Source organism: Homo sapiens, chromosome 19, assembly GCF_000001405.40.
Source record: "Homo sapiens chromosome 19, GRCh38.p14 Primary Assembly".
NCBI classification, from domain to species: Eukaryota; Metazoa; Chordata; class Mammalia; order Primates; family Hominidae; genus Homo; species Homo sapiens.
The window spans coordinates 24,032,859-24,052,450 of NC_000019.10; the positions used below are offsets into that span (position 1 = coordinate 24,032,859).

Sequence of the window (19,592 nt, forward strand, 5' to 3'; positions counted from 1 at the left end):
ACTTTGGGAGGCTCTGGCGGGCGGTCAGGAGTTCAGACCAGTGTGGCGTCAGGAGTTCGAGACCAGCCTGGGCAACATGGTGAAACCCTGTCTCTACTAAAAATACAAAAGTAGTCGGGCGTGGTGGCATACGCCTGTAATCCCAGCTACTTGGGAAGTTGAGGCAGGAGAATCATTTGAACCCGGGAGGCGGAGGTTGCAGTAAGCCAAGATCGCACCATTGCACTCCAGCCTGGGCAATAAGAGTGAAACTCGGTCTCAAAAAAAAAAAAAATCCAAATGATCTTTTCTTACCCTTAAGTAGCAAATAAGATGCATTATACAAGCAGACCCAGGTAAGGGAAAGAGCAAGTGCATTTCAAGTCTCAGCTCACTTCTTAATTAGCTGTAATTCCCTGTGCATTTTACCCTACCTACTTTAGCCTGTTTTTCTGTTCATAAAACGCACTAATGCTGAACGGGGCGGGGGCAGGGGGTGGGGGTGGGAGTGGTATGGGGAGAGTGCCGGTCCTTATCCAATCCTTGGCGCTGGAGCGGCAACCGCCCAATCAAGCGCGCAGTTGAAGAGGAGTGCATGGTTTCCGGCATTTGGCTGGGCCTTTGTCTCTCGCTCCCACCAGAGCTTGGAATCCGTCTCTGCTCTTCTGCATTCTCCACCTCGGGAGCCCCTGGGGACTCTGTGACGGCCTCTGTTGCCCTGTGATCTGCAGGTCCGGAGAGACGCACAGCTAAGATGTCAGGACATCCTGGAAGCTGGGAAAGGGTGAGTGTGCGGGGTTGGGCATCCCGAAAGGAGAGAGCGGGCTGTGAAACCGGCGGGACTGCCTTCGTCACCGCTCCCGGGTTTCCGACCTGAGGTCCCTGCTGGCGCAGTTCAGCCCCAGGCCCCTCTGGCCGCAAGATGGCGGCTGGGCCCGCAGCCGGGATCCCCGCGTTCAGCCCCGTCCCTGCGGCGCCCAGTCTGGAGCTCCCTGGGCAGCTCTGCATGCAGCCCCGAGTATTTCCCAGATTGTTCAGGGATGCCAGGCGGATCATCAGGGCGGAATCCTGACTTGGTGTGTGCGTGGCAGGAGCTGCGGCAGGTGGGGCTCCCGAGTCTCTTTTCTTAAACATTTTGTTTGTTTGAGACGGAGTCTTGCCCTGTCGCCCAGGCTGGAGTGCAGTGGCACGATCACTGCAACCTTCGCCTCCTAGACTCAAGCGATTCTCGTGCCTCAGCCCTCCGAAAAGCTGGGATTACATACCTGCGCCACCACGCCTGGCTAGTTTTGTATTTCTAGTAGAGAAGTGGTTTTGCCATGGTGGAAGCTGGTCTGGAACTCAAGTGATCCGCCCGCCTCGGCCTGACCGGGAAATAGAAGCCTGAACTCAGTGACTCAAGCTAAGGATAGTTTAGTTCTGCCGGCGGAGCCTCTCCTGCAGATGTCCCAGCCTGCTCACAATAGCCATGGACAGAACCTTTATGCTTAGAGAAGCTGCAGAGCCCTGAAAATCTATACATCCACAGGCAGATGCAGTTGGGGTTGGCACAAAAATGGGGTTGGGAGGCTTTTTCTGGGAATAGAGTTATTGTTCTGAGGTTGTTTCTAGATTTTGTGATATATGACAAATTTAGATTTAGGTAAGTGGGTTTTTTTTTTTTTTTTTTTTTTCTTTTGTGCCAGAGTCTCATTCTGTCACCCAGGCTGTAGTACAGTGGCACGATCTCGGCACACTGCAACCTCTGTCTCCCAGATTCAAGCGATCCTCCAGGCTCCCTAGTACCTGGGACTACAAGCAGGCGACCCGACGCCCAGCTAATTTTTGCGGGGTTTCACCATTTTGGCCAGGCTGTTCTCCAACTCTGGACAAGAGGTAATCCACCCACCTCGGCCTTCCAAAGTGCTGGAATTACAGGTGTGAGCCACTGTGCCTGGCAAGAAGTTACTTTTTTTTTTTTTTTTGAGACGGAGTTGCCCTCAGTCGCCCAGGCTGGAGTGCAGTGGTGCGATCTTGGCTCACTGCAGCCTCCGCCTCCCGGGTTCAAGCGATTCTCTTGCCTCAGCCTCCCGAGTAGCTGGGATTACAGGCACCTGCCGTCATGCGCAGCATGAAGTTACTTAATTTTAAAGGAGTATTGCAGCAAGGGGAAAGCACCAGCTATAAGATATTGGAGAATTTTAAAGGTTAGAGAGAAAAGGACTTTCTTTCATAAGAAGAAAAGAAGGTCAGAAAAAAAGTGGGAAGGGGAGGGAGGGATAGAACATGGTGAAAGCAGATGCTAGATTAGGGAATATTTTACCCAGAAGTCAGCCTGGTTTTTTTGTTGTTGTTTGTTTTTTGTGAGATGGAGTCTCGCTCTGTTGCCTAGGCAGGCGGGCACTGGCGTGATCTCCGCTCACTGCAGCCTCCGCCTCCCAGGTTGGAACAATTCTCCCACCTCAGCCTCTCAGGTAGCTGGGATTACAGGCGCACCACCATGCCTGGCTAATGTTTTGTATTTTTAGTATAGGCGGGGTTTCACCATGTTGGCCAGGCTGGTCCAAAACTCCTGACCTCAGGTGATCCACCCTCCTCAGCCTCCCAAAGTGCTGGGATTATAGGCATGAGCCACCACACCCGGCCAAGTCAGCCTGTTTTTGAGGAACATAGGCCGAGTGCGGTATTTTTAATATAAAAATACAAAAAATTAGCCGGGCTTGGTGGCACGCTGTATTCCCAGCTATTCGGGAAGCTGAGGCAGGAGAATAACTTGAATCTGGGAGGTGGAGGTTGCAGTGAGCCGAGATTGCACCACTGCACTCTAGCCTGGTGACAGAGCGAGACTCGGTCTCAAAGAAAAAAGAGGAACATAAAGAGGGGTTGTGGTTGGGTCAAAATTTGGGAGCCTGAGGAAAGAAAGAAACCTAAGCAAAGTTTGATTAACAGGTATTTTGTTCTAACTACTGAAGACGAATGTATTAATTGTTTATAAGGCAAAAAAATAGCAATTTAGACAGTCTGTGGCTTCATAATATCAAAAATAGGAAGGGTGTTTCTTTGCAATAAGATGCTCTTGAAAACACAAAAGTTCAGGAATTTCTTTAATCACTGCTCTTACCTGCCCACTTCATCTTCCACCATGAGTTTTCCTTGCCCTGTATGTTTCTTACATTTAGCTTTTCCTGACTTGTGTGTTTTATAACAAACTGGTAAATGCAAGTATAATGCTTTTGTTTTGTTTTGTTTTGTTTTGTTTTTTTGAGATGGAGGCTCACTCTGTCGCCCAGGCTGGAGTGCAGTGGCGCGATCTTGGCTCACTGCGAGCTCCGCCTCCTGGGTTCACACCTTTCTCCTGCCTCAGCCTCTCCGAGTAGCTGGGACTATAGGCGCCTGCCACCATGCTCGGCTAAATTTTTTTTTTTTGTATTTTTAGTAGAGACGCGGTTTCACCGTGGTCTTGATCTCCTGATCTTGTGATCCACCCGCCTCGGCCTCCCAAAGTGCTGGGATTACAAGTGTGAGCCACCGCGCCTGGCTGCAACTATAATGTTTTGCTAAGTTCTGTGAGTAGCTGTATCATTATTTAACTTGAGAAGATTATGAGAGCCCCCAGTTTATAGGAACTGGCTCAGAAGTATAGATGAGACCCTAGGAATTGTGACTGGGATCTGCAGTGGTGGCAGTGTTGTGGGACTGAGCCCTGAACTTGTAGGGTCTATGCTGACTCAAGGAGGTATCAGAATTGAGTTATTGGACAACCAGTTGGTGTTGGAGAATTGGTTGCTGTTCAGCAAACTCCACACATTTGTTGTCAGAAAAAGAATATCACAGATATTTGAGCTGGAGGGAGACTCTTGGTTTCTCTGGGAAGGGGAACTCTGTTCTGCACACAGGCTGTCACAATGCACATTGTCCTGTGATTCCAGATCTCTTCCCAGGGTGAAAGGGGACTGAGGGCTTGGAAGAAAGAAGTTCTGAAAACAGACTCCCTGCCCTCAACCTGCTACCACCAATGATTTCCGCCTACTAATGAACATACCCACTAGGAATGGGTGTGGCCAGAATCTTCACAAAACAAGAAGACTTGATCTGAGGAATTACTCTATAGTGGCTTTACCTCTAAAATTTCTCACCAAAGAATTACACAAGTGCCTAGAGGACTCCTGGATTATCCCTACCACAAACCCTGAACCTGAAGCAGCAACCTGGTCTCTCTATCACCCTGGGCTTGTGGACTACCAATCATAATCTCATCCACCTGCATGGACACAGGAATATGTCAGAACATAACCCTGCCTGAATCAGTATCTGTAGCATAAACCAGTCTTTCCAGCTACCATGCACTGTCCCCCACTCACGGGTCCTTGATAGCACCTTTCCCTCTTCTGTCTTTTGCTTTTCTACAAACCCTTTCTGATGTGCACAGTGTGCCTCAGGTGCCTGAATCCAGCACCTACTGGGAGTCAGATGTCCATGAGTTCAAGATTATAGCCCTAGACCTGGCTGTCATAAGAACAGACAAAAATTAGAAATACAGTCTTCATCCTTGAAAATAAAAGATTTTTCTCTTTCCTTTTCTTAAAGCATTTACTTTAGAAAACTTTTGTATTTATTTATTTTTATGTTTTTTTTGAGACTGAGTCTTGCTCTGTCACCCAGGCTGGAGTGCAGTGGCACAATCTCGGCTTACTGCAACCTCCACCTCCTGGGCTCAAGCAGTTCTCCTGCCTTATCCTCCCAAGTAGCTGAGATAACAGGCGTGCACTACAATGCCCGGCTAATTGTTTTTTTATTTTTTATTTTTTTTGAGATGTAGTTTCGCTCTTGTCCCCCAGGCTGAAGTGCAGTGGTGTGATCTCGGCTCACCGCAACCTCCACCTCCCAGGTTCAAGCGATTCTCCTGCCTTAACCTCCTGAGTAGCTGGGATTACAGGCATGTGCCACCACGCCCAGCTAATTTTGTATTTTTCATAGAGATGGGGTTTCTCCATGTTGGTCAGGCTGGTCTCGAGCTCCCGACCTCAGGTGATCCACCTGCCTCGGCCTCCCAGAGTGCTGGGATTATAGGCGTGAGACATCACACCTGGCCCTAATTTTTTGTACTTTTAGTAGAGATGGAATTTCACCATGTTGACTGGGCTGGTCTCGAACTCCTGACCTCAGGTAATGCACCCGCCTCGGACTCCAAAAGTCCTGGGATTACAAGCGTGAGCCACTGTACCTGGCCAGAAAACTTTTATATAATTCTTTTCTGCCTACTTGAAATAGATACAAATTATTCTAACTGCTAAATAGGCTTTTTGTCAGTATTTTTGACTCAGGACTGTTTTTAGAACCTAGGAATCATTTATTTAAAATGTAAATAGCAAAGAAAATAGAACTTTATTCCATTTTCTGTTGGAAGATAGGAGTTTACCTTCAGCACAGTCCTGGTTCCAAGTTTCAAAACTACCTCTCATGAAGACATTAGTTTATTTTTCCTTTAATTATAGCCAATTAGCAACCAAAGAAGACCTCCAATTTTTAGGTGAATTTAAGATAAACTGTATGTGACCAATGGTGCTGTCAGTTCTTCTACTTGAGAACTAATTATGGTGGCTATTTGCAATTGAGTGTCTTTGCAATCTCTTAGCAGTTTGCTTATAATGGCCTTCACATTCTGGAGTAATTCTGTAATAATTTTTTTTTCTCTTCTCCAGTTGTGTATAATTTTTCTGAGGCTTCAGATAATTCTGTTTATAATTATGTTTCTCTAAGTTTGTCCAGAATTACTAAACAGGATATGAACACATACTGTGCCCACCATGCTTCATTCTGTATGGACCAGTCACAACATACAATTGTGCAATTGGGCTTCCATTCACAACACACAATTGTGCAGTAAAGTGCACACTGCCCTCAAAGTCTGCAGGCAGAATGGCCTTTCTTCGTATTTGGGATCTGCAATCATTAATAGCATACTTTTACCAGATTTCTACGAAAATTACTACAGGGCAACAATTAACTATTCCAGCTCTGTCTTTCTATCCCCCTGGCATCTTCAGATGCGAAATTCTTTCAAATACCATTTGGCCTGAAAACTCAACCAGGTTCACACATTTGCATTGAGTAAGCCTGAGAATCTAAACATTTTGCTTATTCTCTTGTCCAAATGCCTATGCATGTGGCAAGGGTGCCTTTGGCTTGCTTTTCTGCCCTCCTAAACCTAAATCTGCAGTTCCAAATTTTGAGTCCAGCTAATAGGGTTCTCCATTCTGTGTTGGAGCAGTCTTCATGTGGGGATTTCTCCTCTACTTTTCCTCTCCTCACTGTAACACAATATGGAGCCAAGTTAATGGTACCTAGAATCCACACATAAGGGCTGAAATCCACCTGGGATTAACAAGACAGGGCCAGGCTTTGGATCTTGTCCAGTGAAATTTTGAGATTGTGTGAGGAGCTCCTGGTATAAACTGAATCTGGTGGCAGAATCTCTAAGTGTAAAGAAGCATGTTAGCCAAGGGAAGTTAGGGCCACAACTGTCCAGAGCCATGAATGCATGAATGCAACCCCATCTCCTATGTGTGAGTTGTATTACTGGAGAAAGTTTTTTTGTTGTTGTTTTTTATTTGTTTATTTTTTTATGAGACAGAGTCTCTGTCTGTTGCCAGGCTGGAGTGCAGTGGCGTGACCTTGGCTCACTGCAACCTCTGCCTCCCTGGTTCAAGTGATTCTCCTGCCTCAGCCTCCCAAGTAGCTGGGATTACAGGCTCTCATTTCTTGATACTTGGGTGAAGAACAAGTAGGAGGTCTGGAGGCTCAAACTGATATGTAAACAAATTGCTTTTATTATTATTATTTGCCATTAGAAAAACAGGTGAAACAGTCATGGACTCTACTATTCAGGAATTATTATTCTAGAGCCAGTAAATACATGGTTGAATTAAGAGTAATGTGATCAGAATGAAGAAGGGAGTTGCACAGAAGACTTGGGCTTTATTTGGGACACTGCTCTTATGTTGTTGTGAGTTCTGATGTCACCACCTGAAGGGACATCATAGACAGAAGAGTTGTTACAATTATTTCTGTTGCTTTTCCCTTGTTAAGAATCGTTTCTAATATAGTTTTTCTAGAAAGTACTACATGTTTTGGTTAAGTCGGTTGTTAGTGTGTCATGCAAAATAGAGAAGAGGCTTAAACCATTAAAATCAGAAAAATTCTGGGAGTCAAGTTCTTGTTGGTCCAGCTTAGAAAAGATAGAACACAAAATAAGCCAGCAGCACAGAGAAGAGAAGCTGAGGGCCAACTCCCTGCCCCAGCCCTATCCAGACCTATGCTCTATGAGCCTTGTCCAGGTCTGGCCCCACCCTGAAATCTCCCCTCACAGAACTAATTAGAACTAATTACAGGAGATCAGACTCCTGTTTGGAACAACTATTGGATCTGCAGAAGTGTAAAACGGGTGTCTACCCTTGGTGTTTCTTCAGAGCTGGAGCTCAGAATTTTTCCAAACCTAAAAGCAAATAAATGAGAGCAAAGGAGTATACATTTGGAATCTTAATGTCTTTCTTTCTCAATGAAACCAGTGCTTACATTTTACACAGCAACCTGTTTTACACTTCTGCAGATCCAATAATTGTTCCACAGTCATGAGAAAGTAAATAGAAACACAACAATTAAAAGTCTCTCTACTTATCCCTTCCTTTCTATATCCCTCCCATCTGTCTGTATTTAGCTTTTATAGTGATAGGGAAACCAGAAGAAATAGCCTAAGCCATCATCTAAATCCTACTGGGAATTATGAGACACTTAGTACCCACCTTTCAAAATTTTTTGAGGCTTAACCGACACAATGCGAGTTTCCCAGCACAGCACATTACAGCATACATGGTGAGCACATAGTACAAGCTCAATAAACACTGTATTAATGTATGTGTACATGTTGTTCAAATGCAGATGTAGACATTACTACATTCTCCAGCCTCTGTAAACTTTAAAAAGCTGGCAAAGCATGTGATCCTCTGAGACAGTGACTTGTGGTCTTCACTGTAACAAAAAGTATTTGTGTTGCAATAAAGGTATTAGATGTAAGGGACTCTGTGTGCTATACTTTCTCTGAGTGCTGGAGAGCAACATCAGCATTAACAGGGAACTTTCGATAAAGAAGCCAATTTCTGGACCCCTCCAAAACCTGCAGAATCACATTAGTTAGAGAGTGGCTCAGAATACCAAATGAGCTATATGCACATCGAAGCTTGAGAAGCAATGGTCAGCTAAGTGGTTCTTAGCCCAGGCTTCCAGTTAGGATACATGACAAGTTTGAAGAAATACCAGTGAGAGGTGACAGCGTGCTGGCAGTCCTCAGAGCCCTCGCTTGCTCTCGGCACCTCCCCTGCCTGGGCTCCCACTTTGTGGCATTTGAGGAGCCCTTCAGGCCCCCCACTGCACTTGGGAGCCCCTTTCTGGGCTGGCCAAGGCCGGAGCCCACTCCCTCAGCTTGCAGGGAGGTGTGGAGGGAGAGGCATGAGCGGGAACCGGGGCTGCGTGCGGCGCTTGCGGGCCAGCTGGAGTTCCGGGTGGGCGTGGGCTTGGTGGGCCCCACACTCGGAGCAGCCAGCCAGCCCTGCTGGCCCCGGGCAATGGGGGACTTAGCACCCGGGCTAGTGGCTGCGGAGGGTGTACTGAGTCCCCCAGCAGTGCTGGCCCACCGGCGCTACGCTCGATTTCTCGCCGGGCCTTAGCTGCTTTCCTGCGGGGCAGGGCTCGGGACCTGCAGCCCGCCATGCCTGAGCCTCCCACCCACTCCATGGGCTCCTGTGCGGCCCGAGCCTCCCCGACGAGCACCACCCCCTGCTCCACGGCGCCCAGTCCCATCGACCACCCAAGGGCTGAGGAATGCGAGCGCACGGCGCAGGACTGGCAGGCAGCTTCACCTGCAGCCCCGGTGCGGGATCCACTAGGTGAAGCCAGCTGGGCTCCTGAGTCTGGTGGGGACGTGGAGAGTCTTTATATCTAGCTCAGGGACTGTAAATACACCAATCAGCACCCTGTGTTTAGTTCAAGGTTTGTGAGTGCACCAATCCACACTCTGTATCTAGCTGCTCTGGTGAGGACGTGGAGAGTCTTTATATCTAGCTCAGGGATTGTAAATACACCAATCAGCACCCTGTGTTTAGCTCAAGGTTTGTGAGTGCACCAGTCGACACTCTGTATCTAGCTGCTCTGGTGAGGACGTGGAGAACATTTATGTGTAGCTCAAGGATTGTAAATACACCAATCGGCACTCTGTATCTAGCTCAAGGTTTGTAAACACACCAATCAGCACCCTGTGTTTAGCTCAAGGTTTGTGAATGCACCAGTCGACACTCTGTATCTAGCTGCTCTGGTGGGGCCTTGGAGAACCTGTGTGTTGAAACTCTATATCTAACTAATCTGATGGGGAGGTGGAGAACCTTTGTATCTTGCTCAGGGATTGTAAACGCACCAATCAGCGCCCTGACAAAACAGGCCACTCGGCTCTACCAATCTGCAGGATGTGGGTGGGGCCAGATAAGAGAATAAAAGCAGGCTGCCCGAGCCAGCATTGGCAACCCGCTCAGGTCCCCTTCCACACTGTGGAAACTTTGTTCTTTAACTCTTTGCAGTAAATCTTGCTACTGCTCACTCTTTGGGTGCACGCTGCTTTTAAGAGCTGTAACACTCACCGTGAAGATCTGCAGCTTCACTCCTGAAGCCAGCGACACCACGAGCCCACCAGAAGGAAGAAACTCCGAACACATCTGAACATCAGAAGGGACAGACTCCAGACGCGCCACCTTAAGAGCTGTAACACTCACTGCGAGGGTCCGCGGCTTCATTCTTGAAGTCAGTGAGACCAAGAACCCACCAATTCCGGACAAACCAGTACCTGTGTCTTCCCTACAGGTTATGTTTTTTCATGATTAGATTCAGATTAGTATTTACTTTCCTCTCCACTAATATCACGGCAGTAATTATGGGCCCATCTGTGCATTGGCCTCTGGATCCAATTTGTCTAATTACAGCTGACACTAACTTTATTCATCTGGCTAAGGTGTTTTCTGCCAAGTTTCTTCACTATAAAGTTATTTTTCTCTTTATTATGAATGAGTATCTTGGAGGGATGGATTTCCCAAGTGAGGTTTATAAATTGTCACATTTAATTGAAAAACTCTGTTTCTTTTTCTTTTTAGGTTTTTTTGTTTGTTTTTTGCTTATAGCTTGCTTTGGAGAACAAATCTCATTTTTGTTGACTGTAGATATCAGCTTTTGAAACTGGAAGTTCTAAAAAAGGTATCAGTTTTGTAGGTTTTTATTTTATTTCATCTTTATTTTACAAGCATACATTTCATTTTCTGTATTTTCAGAGAAAGAGAACAAAAATTAATATATAGCTAATATGTCATCTTAAAAATCTAAAATATAACATGGCACATAAAGCCAAAAAAAAATTTTTTTTTTTTGAGATAGAATCTTACTTTGTCGCCCAGGCTATAGTGCAGTGGCACGATCTGAGCTCACTGCAACCTTAACCTCCTGGGTTCAAGCAATTCTCCTGTCTCAGCCTCCCGAGTAGCTGGTACGACAGGTGCATGCCACCATGCCTGGCTAATTTTTGTATTTTTACTAGAGACGGCATTTCACTATATTGGTCAGGCTGGTCTCAAACTCCTGACCTCAGGTGATCCACCTACCTCAGCCTCCTAAAGTGCTGGGATTACAGGCATGAGCCACTGTGCCCGGCCAAAGCAAAAAATTTTAAGAAACACCCGATTCAGTAACAATAGCTCTTAATTTAGTTTATATCATTAAATGTTTTGATCTTCATCCTTGTTTTAGGAAACACAAAAAAGCATGCACAAAGAGGCTTATAATTTTTATATAATTTAAAATATTTCTTCATTTAAACAGAAATGTTCTACTCTCCAACTTTTCATGTGTACATACTTACCATTTCTGTGGGTGTGTGCATAAAATGTAAGCATCATTTGATCAATTTTCTGTTGTTGCCTTGTTTATATCAATCTTCTCAGTTATGAAAACTGCTCTGGATGTTGTTTTACAGTTATCTCTGTATATTGGCTCATAAGTCCTTTTGAGATAAATTTCAAGTCAGATAAATAGGGGTAAAACGCAAAGCTCAGCTGGGCGTGGTGGCTCACGCCTGTAATCTCAGCCCTTTGGGAGGGTGAGGCGCGCAAATCATGAGGTCAGGATTCCGAGACCAGCCTGGCCAACATGGTGAAACCCCATCTCTACTGAAAATACAAAAACTTAGCTGGGCGTGCTGGCAGGCGCCTGTAATCCTAGCTACTCAGGAGGCAGAGGCAGGAGAATTGCTTGAACCCGGGAGGCGGAGGTTGCACTGAGCCAAGATTACACTACTGCACTCCATCCTGGCGACAGAGCAAGACTCCGTTTAAAAAAAAAAAAAAATACAGGCTGGGCGCGGTGGCTCACGCCTATAATCCCAGCACTTTGGGAGGCCGAGGCGGGTGGATCACGAGGTCAGGAGATTGAGACCATCCTGGCTAACATGGTGAAACCCCGTCTTTACTAAAAATACAAAAAATTAGCCGGGCATGGTGGCAGGCACCTGTAGTCCCAGCTACTTGGGAGGCTGAGGCAAGAAAATGGCATGAACCCGGGAGGCAGAGCTTGCAGGGAGCCGAGATCGCGCCACTGCACCCCAGCCTGGGTGACAGAGCGAGACTCAGTCTCAAAAAAAAAAATAAATAAATAAATACAAAAATAGCACTCAAAAATGTATATTCTTATATTGATTCGTGTTTATATTTTGTTTTATATGTGCATATTTATGCTAGTTTTGTGGATCTTATATTTCCACAGAATTAGAGAATATATTCGAAATATTACTGTGTTTAAAAGTATCTTATTTAGTAACTCAGGTCACTCATAAGTCAGAACCAGTTGTCTTAACTTTCTTATTTCATCTTGGGTCAAATTAGGAACTCTGCCCTTGACTGCATGATCAATGTGTTATTTATTTTTATTAGAGAAACTGTTGACATTCAGGGATGTGGTCATAGAATTCTCTCTGGAGGAGTAAAAATACCTGAACCCTTCTCAGCAGAATATGTATAGAGATTTGATGTTAGAGAACTATACATACGTTGTCTCTGAGTCGGAATAACTTACCTTCAGAATATCTAATGTCTAATAACTATGATACCGTACCTTGTTTTAACCTGATTGTCTCTCTTAGCTGAGAGAGCCGGACAGACTCCATTTTAGTTTCTTTACTTGCAGCCCCTTTACCCCTCTCCCTTAAGGGCATAACCAGTGCAAGCTGACTCCAAGCACATCCAGGAATACACTTACTGATAAGATACTGAGGCAAGCTGTACCAGCAGCTCCTGGGAATGCGCTCAAAGCCCCTGCGTTTATCACTTTGTGATAGTTTAAGCCCCTGCACCTGGAACTGTTCATTTTTTCTGTAACTGTTTCTGTAACCATTTATCTTTTTAACTTTTTGCCTGTTCTGCTTCTGTAAAATTGCTTCAGCTAGGCTCCCCCCTCCCCTTGTAGACTGAGGTATAAAAGGAAATCTGGCCGGGCGTGGTGGCTCACATCTGTAATCCCAGCACTTTGGGAGGCCGAGGTGGGCGAATCACGAGGTCGGGAGATCGAGATCATCCTGGCTAACATGGTGAAACCCCGTCTCTACTAAAAATACAAAAAATTAGCTGGGCGTGGTGGCGGCGTCTGTAGTCCCAGCTACTTGGGAGGCTGAGGCAGGAGAATGGCGTGACCCCGGGACGCGGAGGTTGCAGTGAGCTGAGATCGCGCCACTGCACTCCAGCCTGGGTGACACAGCAAGACTCTGTCTCAAAAAAAAAAAAAAAAAAAAGGAAATCTAGCCCCTTCTTCGGGGCCGAGAGAATTTTGAGCGCTAGCCATCTCTCGGTCGCTGGCAATAAAGGACTCCTGAATTAGTCTCAGAGTGTGGTGTTTCTCTACAACTCGCTGGGTTGCAACATAACAAGGGCTTTATTTCTTTCCTTTTTAGAATGTCTCCTTGGGAGGTAGTGCTTTGTCTGAATGAATTTCAGAGTTTTGCTTTCAGGAAAAAAAAAATTCTAAGTTTGTTGATGTAGAAAAAAATCTTCCTAGTGTTTCCAGCCCTCCCCCTTAGTTTTGATTCATTCAAACTTGAAAATGAAGCACAGAATTTCTAAACGTAAAATACTTCCTACATATTCTAAAGAAGCTGGTAGGAAACAGTATTTTGGGGAATAATTTTTAAAAATCTTATATAATGTCCCCTTTTCTCCACTGAGCACAGTACTGAGCTGGCAATTACATATCCTCCAGCATTAATCATCTGACTTTTTATTAAAAAACAGGTCTTGCCATCTCTAAGCTGGACCTGGTGACCTTTTTGGAGGGAAAGAAAGAGCCCTGGACTGTGAAGAGTGAGGAGACCATAGCTGCACAGCCAGGTAAGTGGGAGTAAAGATGGTAGGTGGCCTGGGTGAGAGGTTCAAAGGTCAATAAGCCAGATTTTCTTTTGTCTTCCATTATTTTATTATTTTTTATATATATATATATATATATATATATGTGCAGATCTGTTTTATGTGCAACAATTGATTCTATCAGATAATCAGACCAAGGCATTCCACTGGTAATTTTCCCTCAAATCAATTCAGGTGAAATTAGATATTTATGTACTTCCTGGGCTATCAAAACTTGAGATTTCATTATCAACTTCAGTTCTGAAGCCATACACACAATTCAAAATATACATTAACTAGGTTAAGTCAATAAAAGTGGGCTGAAAGAAACCACAGGATTCAAACAATGAAACCATGTATTTTGTTTGCCTGAGAGTCACAATGTGAACAACAATTATTTCGCATATCTCATAGCTCTTCAGTGTAGAGGGAGTGGCTTCTGAACATAAGGTCATTGCACAGCAGGTGGGCAAACAGCTGGTGTGGCCTCCTGGAGGCTTCACCCAGTGCTGATTTCTTCTCTGCCTCTCCTTTTTTAGGTTCTATTTTTTTCATCTTTCATCTTTCCTTTTTTTTTTTTTTTCCCTTGAGATAGAGTCTTGCTCTGTTGCCCAGGCTGGAGTGCAATGGTGCAATCTTGGCTCACTGCAACCTCTGAATCCTGAGTTCAAGTGATTCTCATCCTTCAGCCTCTGAATAGCTGGGATTACAGTTGTGCGCCACGATGCCTGGCTAATTCTTTGTATTTTTTTTTAGTAGAGACAGGGTTTTGCCATGTTGGCCAGTCTGGTCTCGAACTCCTGACCTCAAGTGATCCTCATGCCTCGGCTTCCCAAAGTGCTGGAATTACAGGTGTGAGCCACTGTGCCTGGCCTCCTTTCCTATTTTCCTATTTTTTTCTCCCTTTTTGTCTCTCTCTTTCTATGTGTCTTTCCCTCTGTTTCTCTCTTCCTTTTTTTTGTTTTGTATTTCTCTCTTCCTCCTTCTCTCTTTCCCTTTGTTTCTTTTTAATTTTTTTTCCTTGTAGAACTTGGTTTATTTTTTCCTTCCTTCCTACCTTTCTTTCTTCTTTTCTTCCCTCCTTTCCTCCCGCCTGTTTTCTTTCCTACTACATGAGCATGCCATCATGCCTGGCTAAATTTTTTATTTCTTGTAGTAGAGACGAGGCCTCGCTATGTTCCCAGGGCTGGCGTCAAGCTCCTGTGCTCAACTAGTTCTTCCATTTCAGTTTCCCCAAGTGTTGGGATTATAGGTTTGAGGCACCATGTTCTGCCCTCTTTTTATTTTCTTTTTCATTCTTCCTTTTTTTTTTTTTTTTTTTGCTCTCTCTCTTGCTTGCTTGCTTCTTTCCTTCATTTCTTTCTTTATTCTACATTTTTCTTTTTTTCTTTTTTCTTTTCTTTTTTTTTGGAGATGGAGTTTCACTCTTGTTGCCCAGCCTGGAGTGCAATGGCGTGATCTTGGCTCACCACAACCTCTACCTCCCTGGTTTAAGTAATTCTCCTGCCTCAGCCTCCCAAGTAGCTGGGATTATAGACATGTGCCGCCACGCCCAGGTAATTTTGTATTTTTAGTAGAGATGGGGTTTCTCCATGTTGGTCAGGCTGGTCCTGAACTCCTGACGTCAGGTGATCTGCCCACCTTAGCCTCCCAAAGTGCTGGGATTACAGGTGTGAGCCACTGCACCCGGCTCTTTTTTTCTTTTCTTCTTTTTTTTTTTTTTTTTTTTTTTGCGTTAGTCTCGCTCTGTCACCCAGAGGTAGGTGGGAAGCTCTCAGACTTAGTCGCCAGAGGGACAGCTTTGGGCGCGAGCTCCACACGTGGCCTGCAGGGTGGACCTAGTGGCTTCCTGGTCACACCATCAGGTGACCAGATGTGGGCTGAGCTGTGGCCAGTACTTGTGGCCGCTGGCCACACGTTTGGGTTGATCAGAGATTCAAAGCTTAGGAAGGAAGGTCAGCAGACTTAGAGGCCGGCCACTGAGGTGGGCCACCTTGGGGGGAATAAGTTTCCAACGGGGACAGCTTCAGGCCGCAAGCGCCACACATGGCCCAGGGTGGAACTGGTGGGCTTCTGCCTCCGCCATGAGCTGGCTTCTCCTTCTGGCTGCCAGGTCTACAGGATGTCGGCCACAAGCGTAGGACTTGGTCGCCAGCTTAAAATGTTTAAGGGGGACCAGATGGTTCTCGCCAGTGCAGTACCGCTTAGGTCCACCAGAAAAGCTCAATGATGGCTCACTGTGCCCTCCACCTTCCTGGGCTCATCCAGGTGATCCTCCCATTTTGGCCTCCCAAATAGCTGGGGATCTGGGGATAGTTCTGTGTTTTGTTTGTTTGTTTTTTTCTATCCCCACTTTGAGTTTGTTTCCACAGTACATTGAGTTTTGTTGGTTTTTGTTTTTTGGGTTTTTTTTCCCTCTCTCTCTCATGCTCCTTCCTGTACACTGCAGTTGCTGTTGTTTTAGATTTCTTTCACCTAGGCTTAAGTGCAGTTACTTGATCACAGCTAACTACAGCCTCGACCTCCCTGGGCTCAGGTGATTCTTCTGTTTCAGACACCCTGCTTCCTTAGTAACTGGGACTAAAGGTATACGGCACCACACTGGCACATTATTTTGCATATCTTGCTTTTTATTTTTGTAGAGATGGGGTTCCATCATGTTTTCCAGGCTGATCTCAAACTCCCACGGTCAAGCGATCTGCTGGCCTCGGCCTCTCAAGGTACTGAGCTTACAGGCGTGAGCCACCATGCCTGGTTCTATCTCTGTCTGTCTGTCTACCTACCTAACTACCTACCTACCTACCTACCTACCTGTAATCAATCTATCATCTATCTCTCCTTTTTTTTTAAGAAGAGACTTGGTCTTGCTATGTTTTTCAGGCTCTGGTTTTATATATATATATATATATATATATATATATTTTTTTTTTTTTTTTAATTTATTTATTATTTTTTAATATAGGGGTTGTCTCACCATGTGGCCCCCAGGATAGTCTCAAACTCCTGGGCTCAAAGTATCCTCCCGCCTTGACCTCCCAAAGTGCTGGGATTACAGGCATGCACCACCATGCACAATCTGGTCATATTTTTGATGTGTTGATTCTTTCCAGTCCAGATGTATAATCTCATCCCTGAACATTTCTGATGGTGTGATTATGACATGTGACTTTATCTGGCAACAGAGTGAGTTGTTGCTCCCGCCTGAGCCCAGCCCCCAGAAAGGATTGTGACATATCGTTGGACCCAGAATTGAGGTAATGTAACTATTCCACTGCCTTGGCACTGCCCACAGAAGACATTGTGACATATTGCTGGGTCTTGTACCCAGGTGGTGTGAATCTTCTCTCCTGCCTTGGCTCTTCCACAGGGGGCATTGTGTCATATCGCTGGGCCCCACACATAGGTTATGTGACTCTTCTGCCTGTGCCCTGCCCATGTGGCCCATTGTGACATACTGTTGGGTCCCAAACCTAGGTGATGTAACTCTACTGCTTAGGCCCTGCCTACAGAGGACATTGTGACATATCCCTGCATCCATCACACAGGTAATGCAGCTCTCTTCTGCTTGGCCCCTACTCACAGAAAGGATTGTGATGTATCACAGGGCTCAGCACCTAGCTAACATGACTTTTCTCCTCTTCTAGGTTTTTGCCCACAGGGGATATTGTGACATGTCACTGGGCCTAATACTAGGGTGACAGTACTCTTGTGTCATGGCACTGCCCTCAGCAGGTGTGGTGATATATTACTGGGCCCAGAACAAATGTGATATGAGTCTCCTGCCTGGACCCTGCCTACAAGGTGCATTGTAACATATCTGGGGCCCTTTGACTATTTTATTTTATTTATTGTATTATATTTTATTTATTTTAATTTTATTTTTGAGACAGAATCTCACTCTGTCACCTAGGATGGAGTGCAGTGGCGTGATCTCTGCTCACTTCAACCTTTGCCTCCTGGGTTCAAGTGATTCTCCTGCCTCAGCCTCCTGAGTAGCTGAGACTACAGGTGTGTGCCGCCACGTCTGGCTGATTTTTGTGTTTTCAGTAGAGACAAGATATCACCCTGTTGGCCAGGCCGATATCAAACTCCTGACCTCAGCCAGTCCACCCGCCTTGACCTCCCAATGTGCTGAGATTACAGGTGTGAACCATTGCTCTTGGCACCCTTTGACTATTTTATGTGACTCTTCTCTCTTACCTGGACATTGACCAAATGGGCCCAGCACCAAGGTGATATGACTCTCCTCTCCTGCCTGGGCCTTGCCCTTAGAAGAGAGAGTGACTTACTGCTGAATTTAGCATACAGGTGATATGATTCTTCTGCTGACTCGCAGAAGTCACTGTAACATATATGTGGGCCCATTGCTGAGGTTGTGTGACTCTCTTCTCCCTGGGACCTGTCCACAGTAGGGATTGTGACATATTGCTTGGCCAAGCACCTACATTGTGTGACTTTTTATTTATTTATTTTTTTAAGACAGAGTTTTGCTCTTGTTGCCCAGGCTGGAGTGCAATACCATGATCTTGGCTCAGCTGGGATTACAGGCATGCGCCACCACACCTGGCAAATTTTTTTTATGTTTTCAGTAGAGATGGGGTTTCTCCATGTTAGTCAGGCTGGTCTCAAACTCCCAACCTCAGGTGAGCCGCCTGCCTTGGCCTCCCAAAGTACTGGGATTCCAGGCATGAGCCACTGCACCTAGCTTCGATATGACTGTCTTCTTATGCCAGGGCCCTGCCGACTGGAGTGATTTTGACACATAGCTGGGGCCAGCTCAAATGTTATGTGACTCCACACTTCTTCCTGAGCCCTATCTGTGAGGGGCACTGTGTCTTATCTCTGAGACCGTTAATTAGGTAATATAACTTTTATTTTTTTGAGACAGAGTCTGGCTTTGTTGCCCCGGCTGGAGTGCAGTGGTGTGATCTTGGTTCACTGCAACTTCCGCCTCCTGGGTTCAAGTGATTCACCTGCCTCAGCCTCCTGAGTAGCTGGGATTACAGGTACACATGCCACCACGCCCAGCTAATTTTTGTATTTTTAGTAGAGATGAAGTTTCACCATGTTGGCCAGGCTGGTCTCGAATTCCTGACCTCAAGTGAGCCACCTGCCTTGGCCTCCCAAAGTGCTGGGATTACAGGCATGGGCCACCACACCTGGCCAATGTAACTCTTTTGTTTGGACTGTCTTCTTGGGGTATTGTGATATATTGCTGGGCCCAGAATCCGGGTGATGTGACTCTGCTGTTTCATCTCTGCACAAAAAGGGATTGTGACATACCACTGGGTCAAGAACCTAGATGAGGTGACTCTCCTCTCCAGCCTGGGACCTGCACACATTGTGTACTAAGACATATCACTGAGTCTAACACCTAGGTAATGCAACTCTCCTGCATGGGCCCTGCCCATAGGGGTATTATGAAATATCTTTCTGTTAATCACCTAGGTGATGCGACACTCCTCTTCTACCTGGGAACTGCCAAAACAAGTATTGGTACATATCACTGGGCCCAGCACATAGGTGATGTGACTCTTTTCTCATGCATGGGCTCTGCGAACTGGGGTGTTTTTTACATATAGTTGGGCCTAAACCCTAGGTCGTGTGATTCTTTTATTTTCCTGAGCTGTACTCACAGAGAGCATTTTGACATGTTTTTGGGCCCGTAATTTAGATGATGTGACTCTCTTGGATGGGCCTTCCCCGGAATGGGTATTGTGACATATTGCTGAGCCCATTATATAGGTGATGTGACTCTCTTGCATGGGCCCTCCACATAAGGGGTAGTGTGACATATTGCTGAGCCCAGTAGGTGATGTGACTCTTCTCTATGGTTTGGGCTTTGCCCAAGCAGGGATTGTGATGTGTTGCTGGACTCACCACCTATGTGTTGTGACTCTCCTCTTCTGCCTAAGCCCTGCATGCATTGTGTGTTGTGACATGCCTGGATTCAACACCTAGGTGATACAACTTTATGGCAGGGGAACCACCCACAGAAGTATTGTATCATCTTTCCATCACTTAGGTGATGTGATTCTTTTATTTTTCCTGTTTCTGGCATATTTTGGGTATAGTGACATACCATTGAGTTCAACACCCATGAAATCGGAGGCTTCTGCCTGAGCCCAGCACATAAGTGACCTTGTGACATATCTT

General features: G+C 45.7%; 1 protein-coding gene across 23 annotated transcripts in view, besides 2 other annotated features; it reads left to right on the forward strand.

Moving 5' to 3' along the window:
* The window catches only part of ZNF254 (zinc finger protein 254), a 96,520-nt gene continuing 77,518 nt past the window's right edge, over positions 591 to 19,592 (forward strand). For 7 of the 23 annotated variants that reach the window (XM_047439738.1, XM_047439739.1, XM_047439740.1 and 4 more), the window contains exons 1-3: positions 591 to 763; positions 13,326 to 13,421; positions 16,547 to 16,690. The gene's annotated coding sequence lies outside the window, so the exon portion shown is untranslated. Of the gene's footprint in view, positions 764 to 13,325; positions 13,422 to 16,078; positions 16,157 to 16,546; positions 16,982 to 17,080; positions 17,445 to 19,592 lie in introns of all 23 variants that reach the window. The other 16 variants (XM_047439744.1, XM_047439745.1, XM_047439751.1 and 13 more) reach the window with 6 other exon arrangements.
* Positions 667 to 876: an enhancer, noted in NCBI's record as "active region_14396". NCBI's record gives its function as "activates an Ori minimal core promoter by ATAC-STARR-seq in GM12878 lymphoblastoid cells {active_cell/tissue: GM12878}" and the evidence as "EXISTENCE:reporter gene assay evidence [ECO:0000049][PMID:35858748]".
* Positions 887 to 936: an enhancer, noted in NCBI's record as "active region_14397". NCBI's record gives its function as "activates an Ori minimal core promoter by ATAC-STARR-seq in GM12878 lymphoblastoid cells {active_cell/tissue: GM12878}" and the evidence as "EXISTENCE:reporter gene assay evidence [ECO:0000049][PMID:35858748]".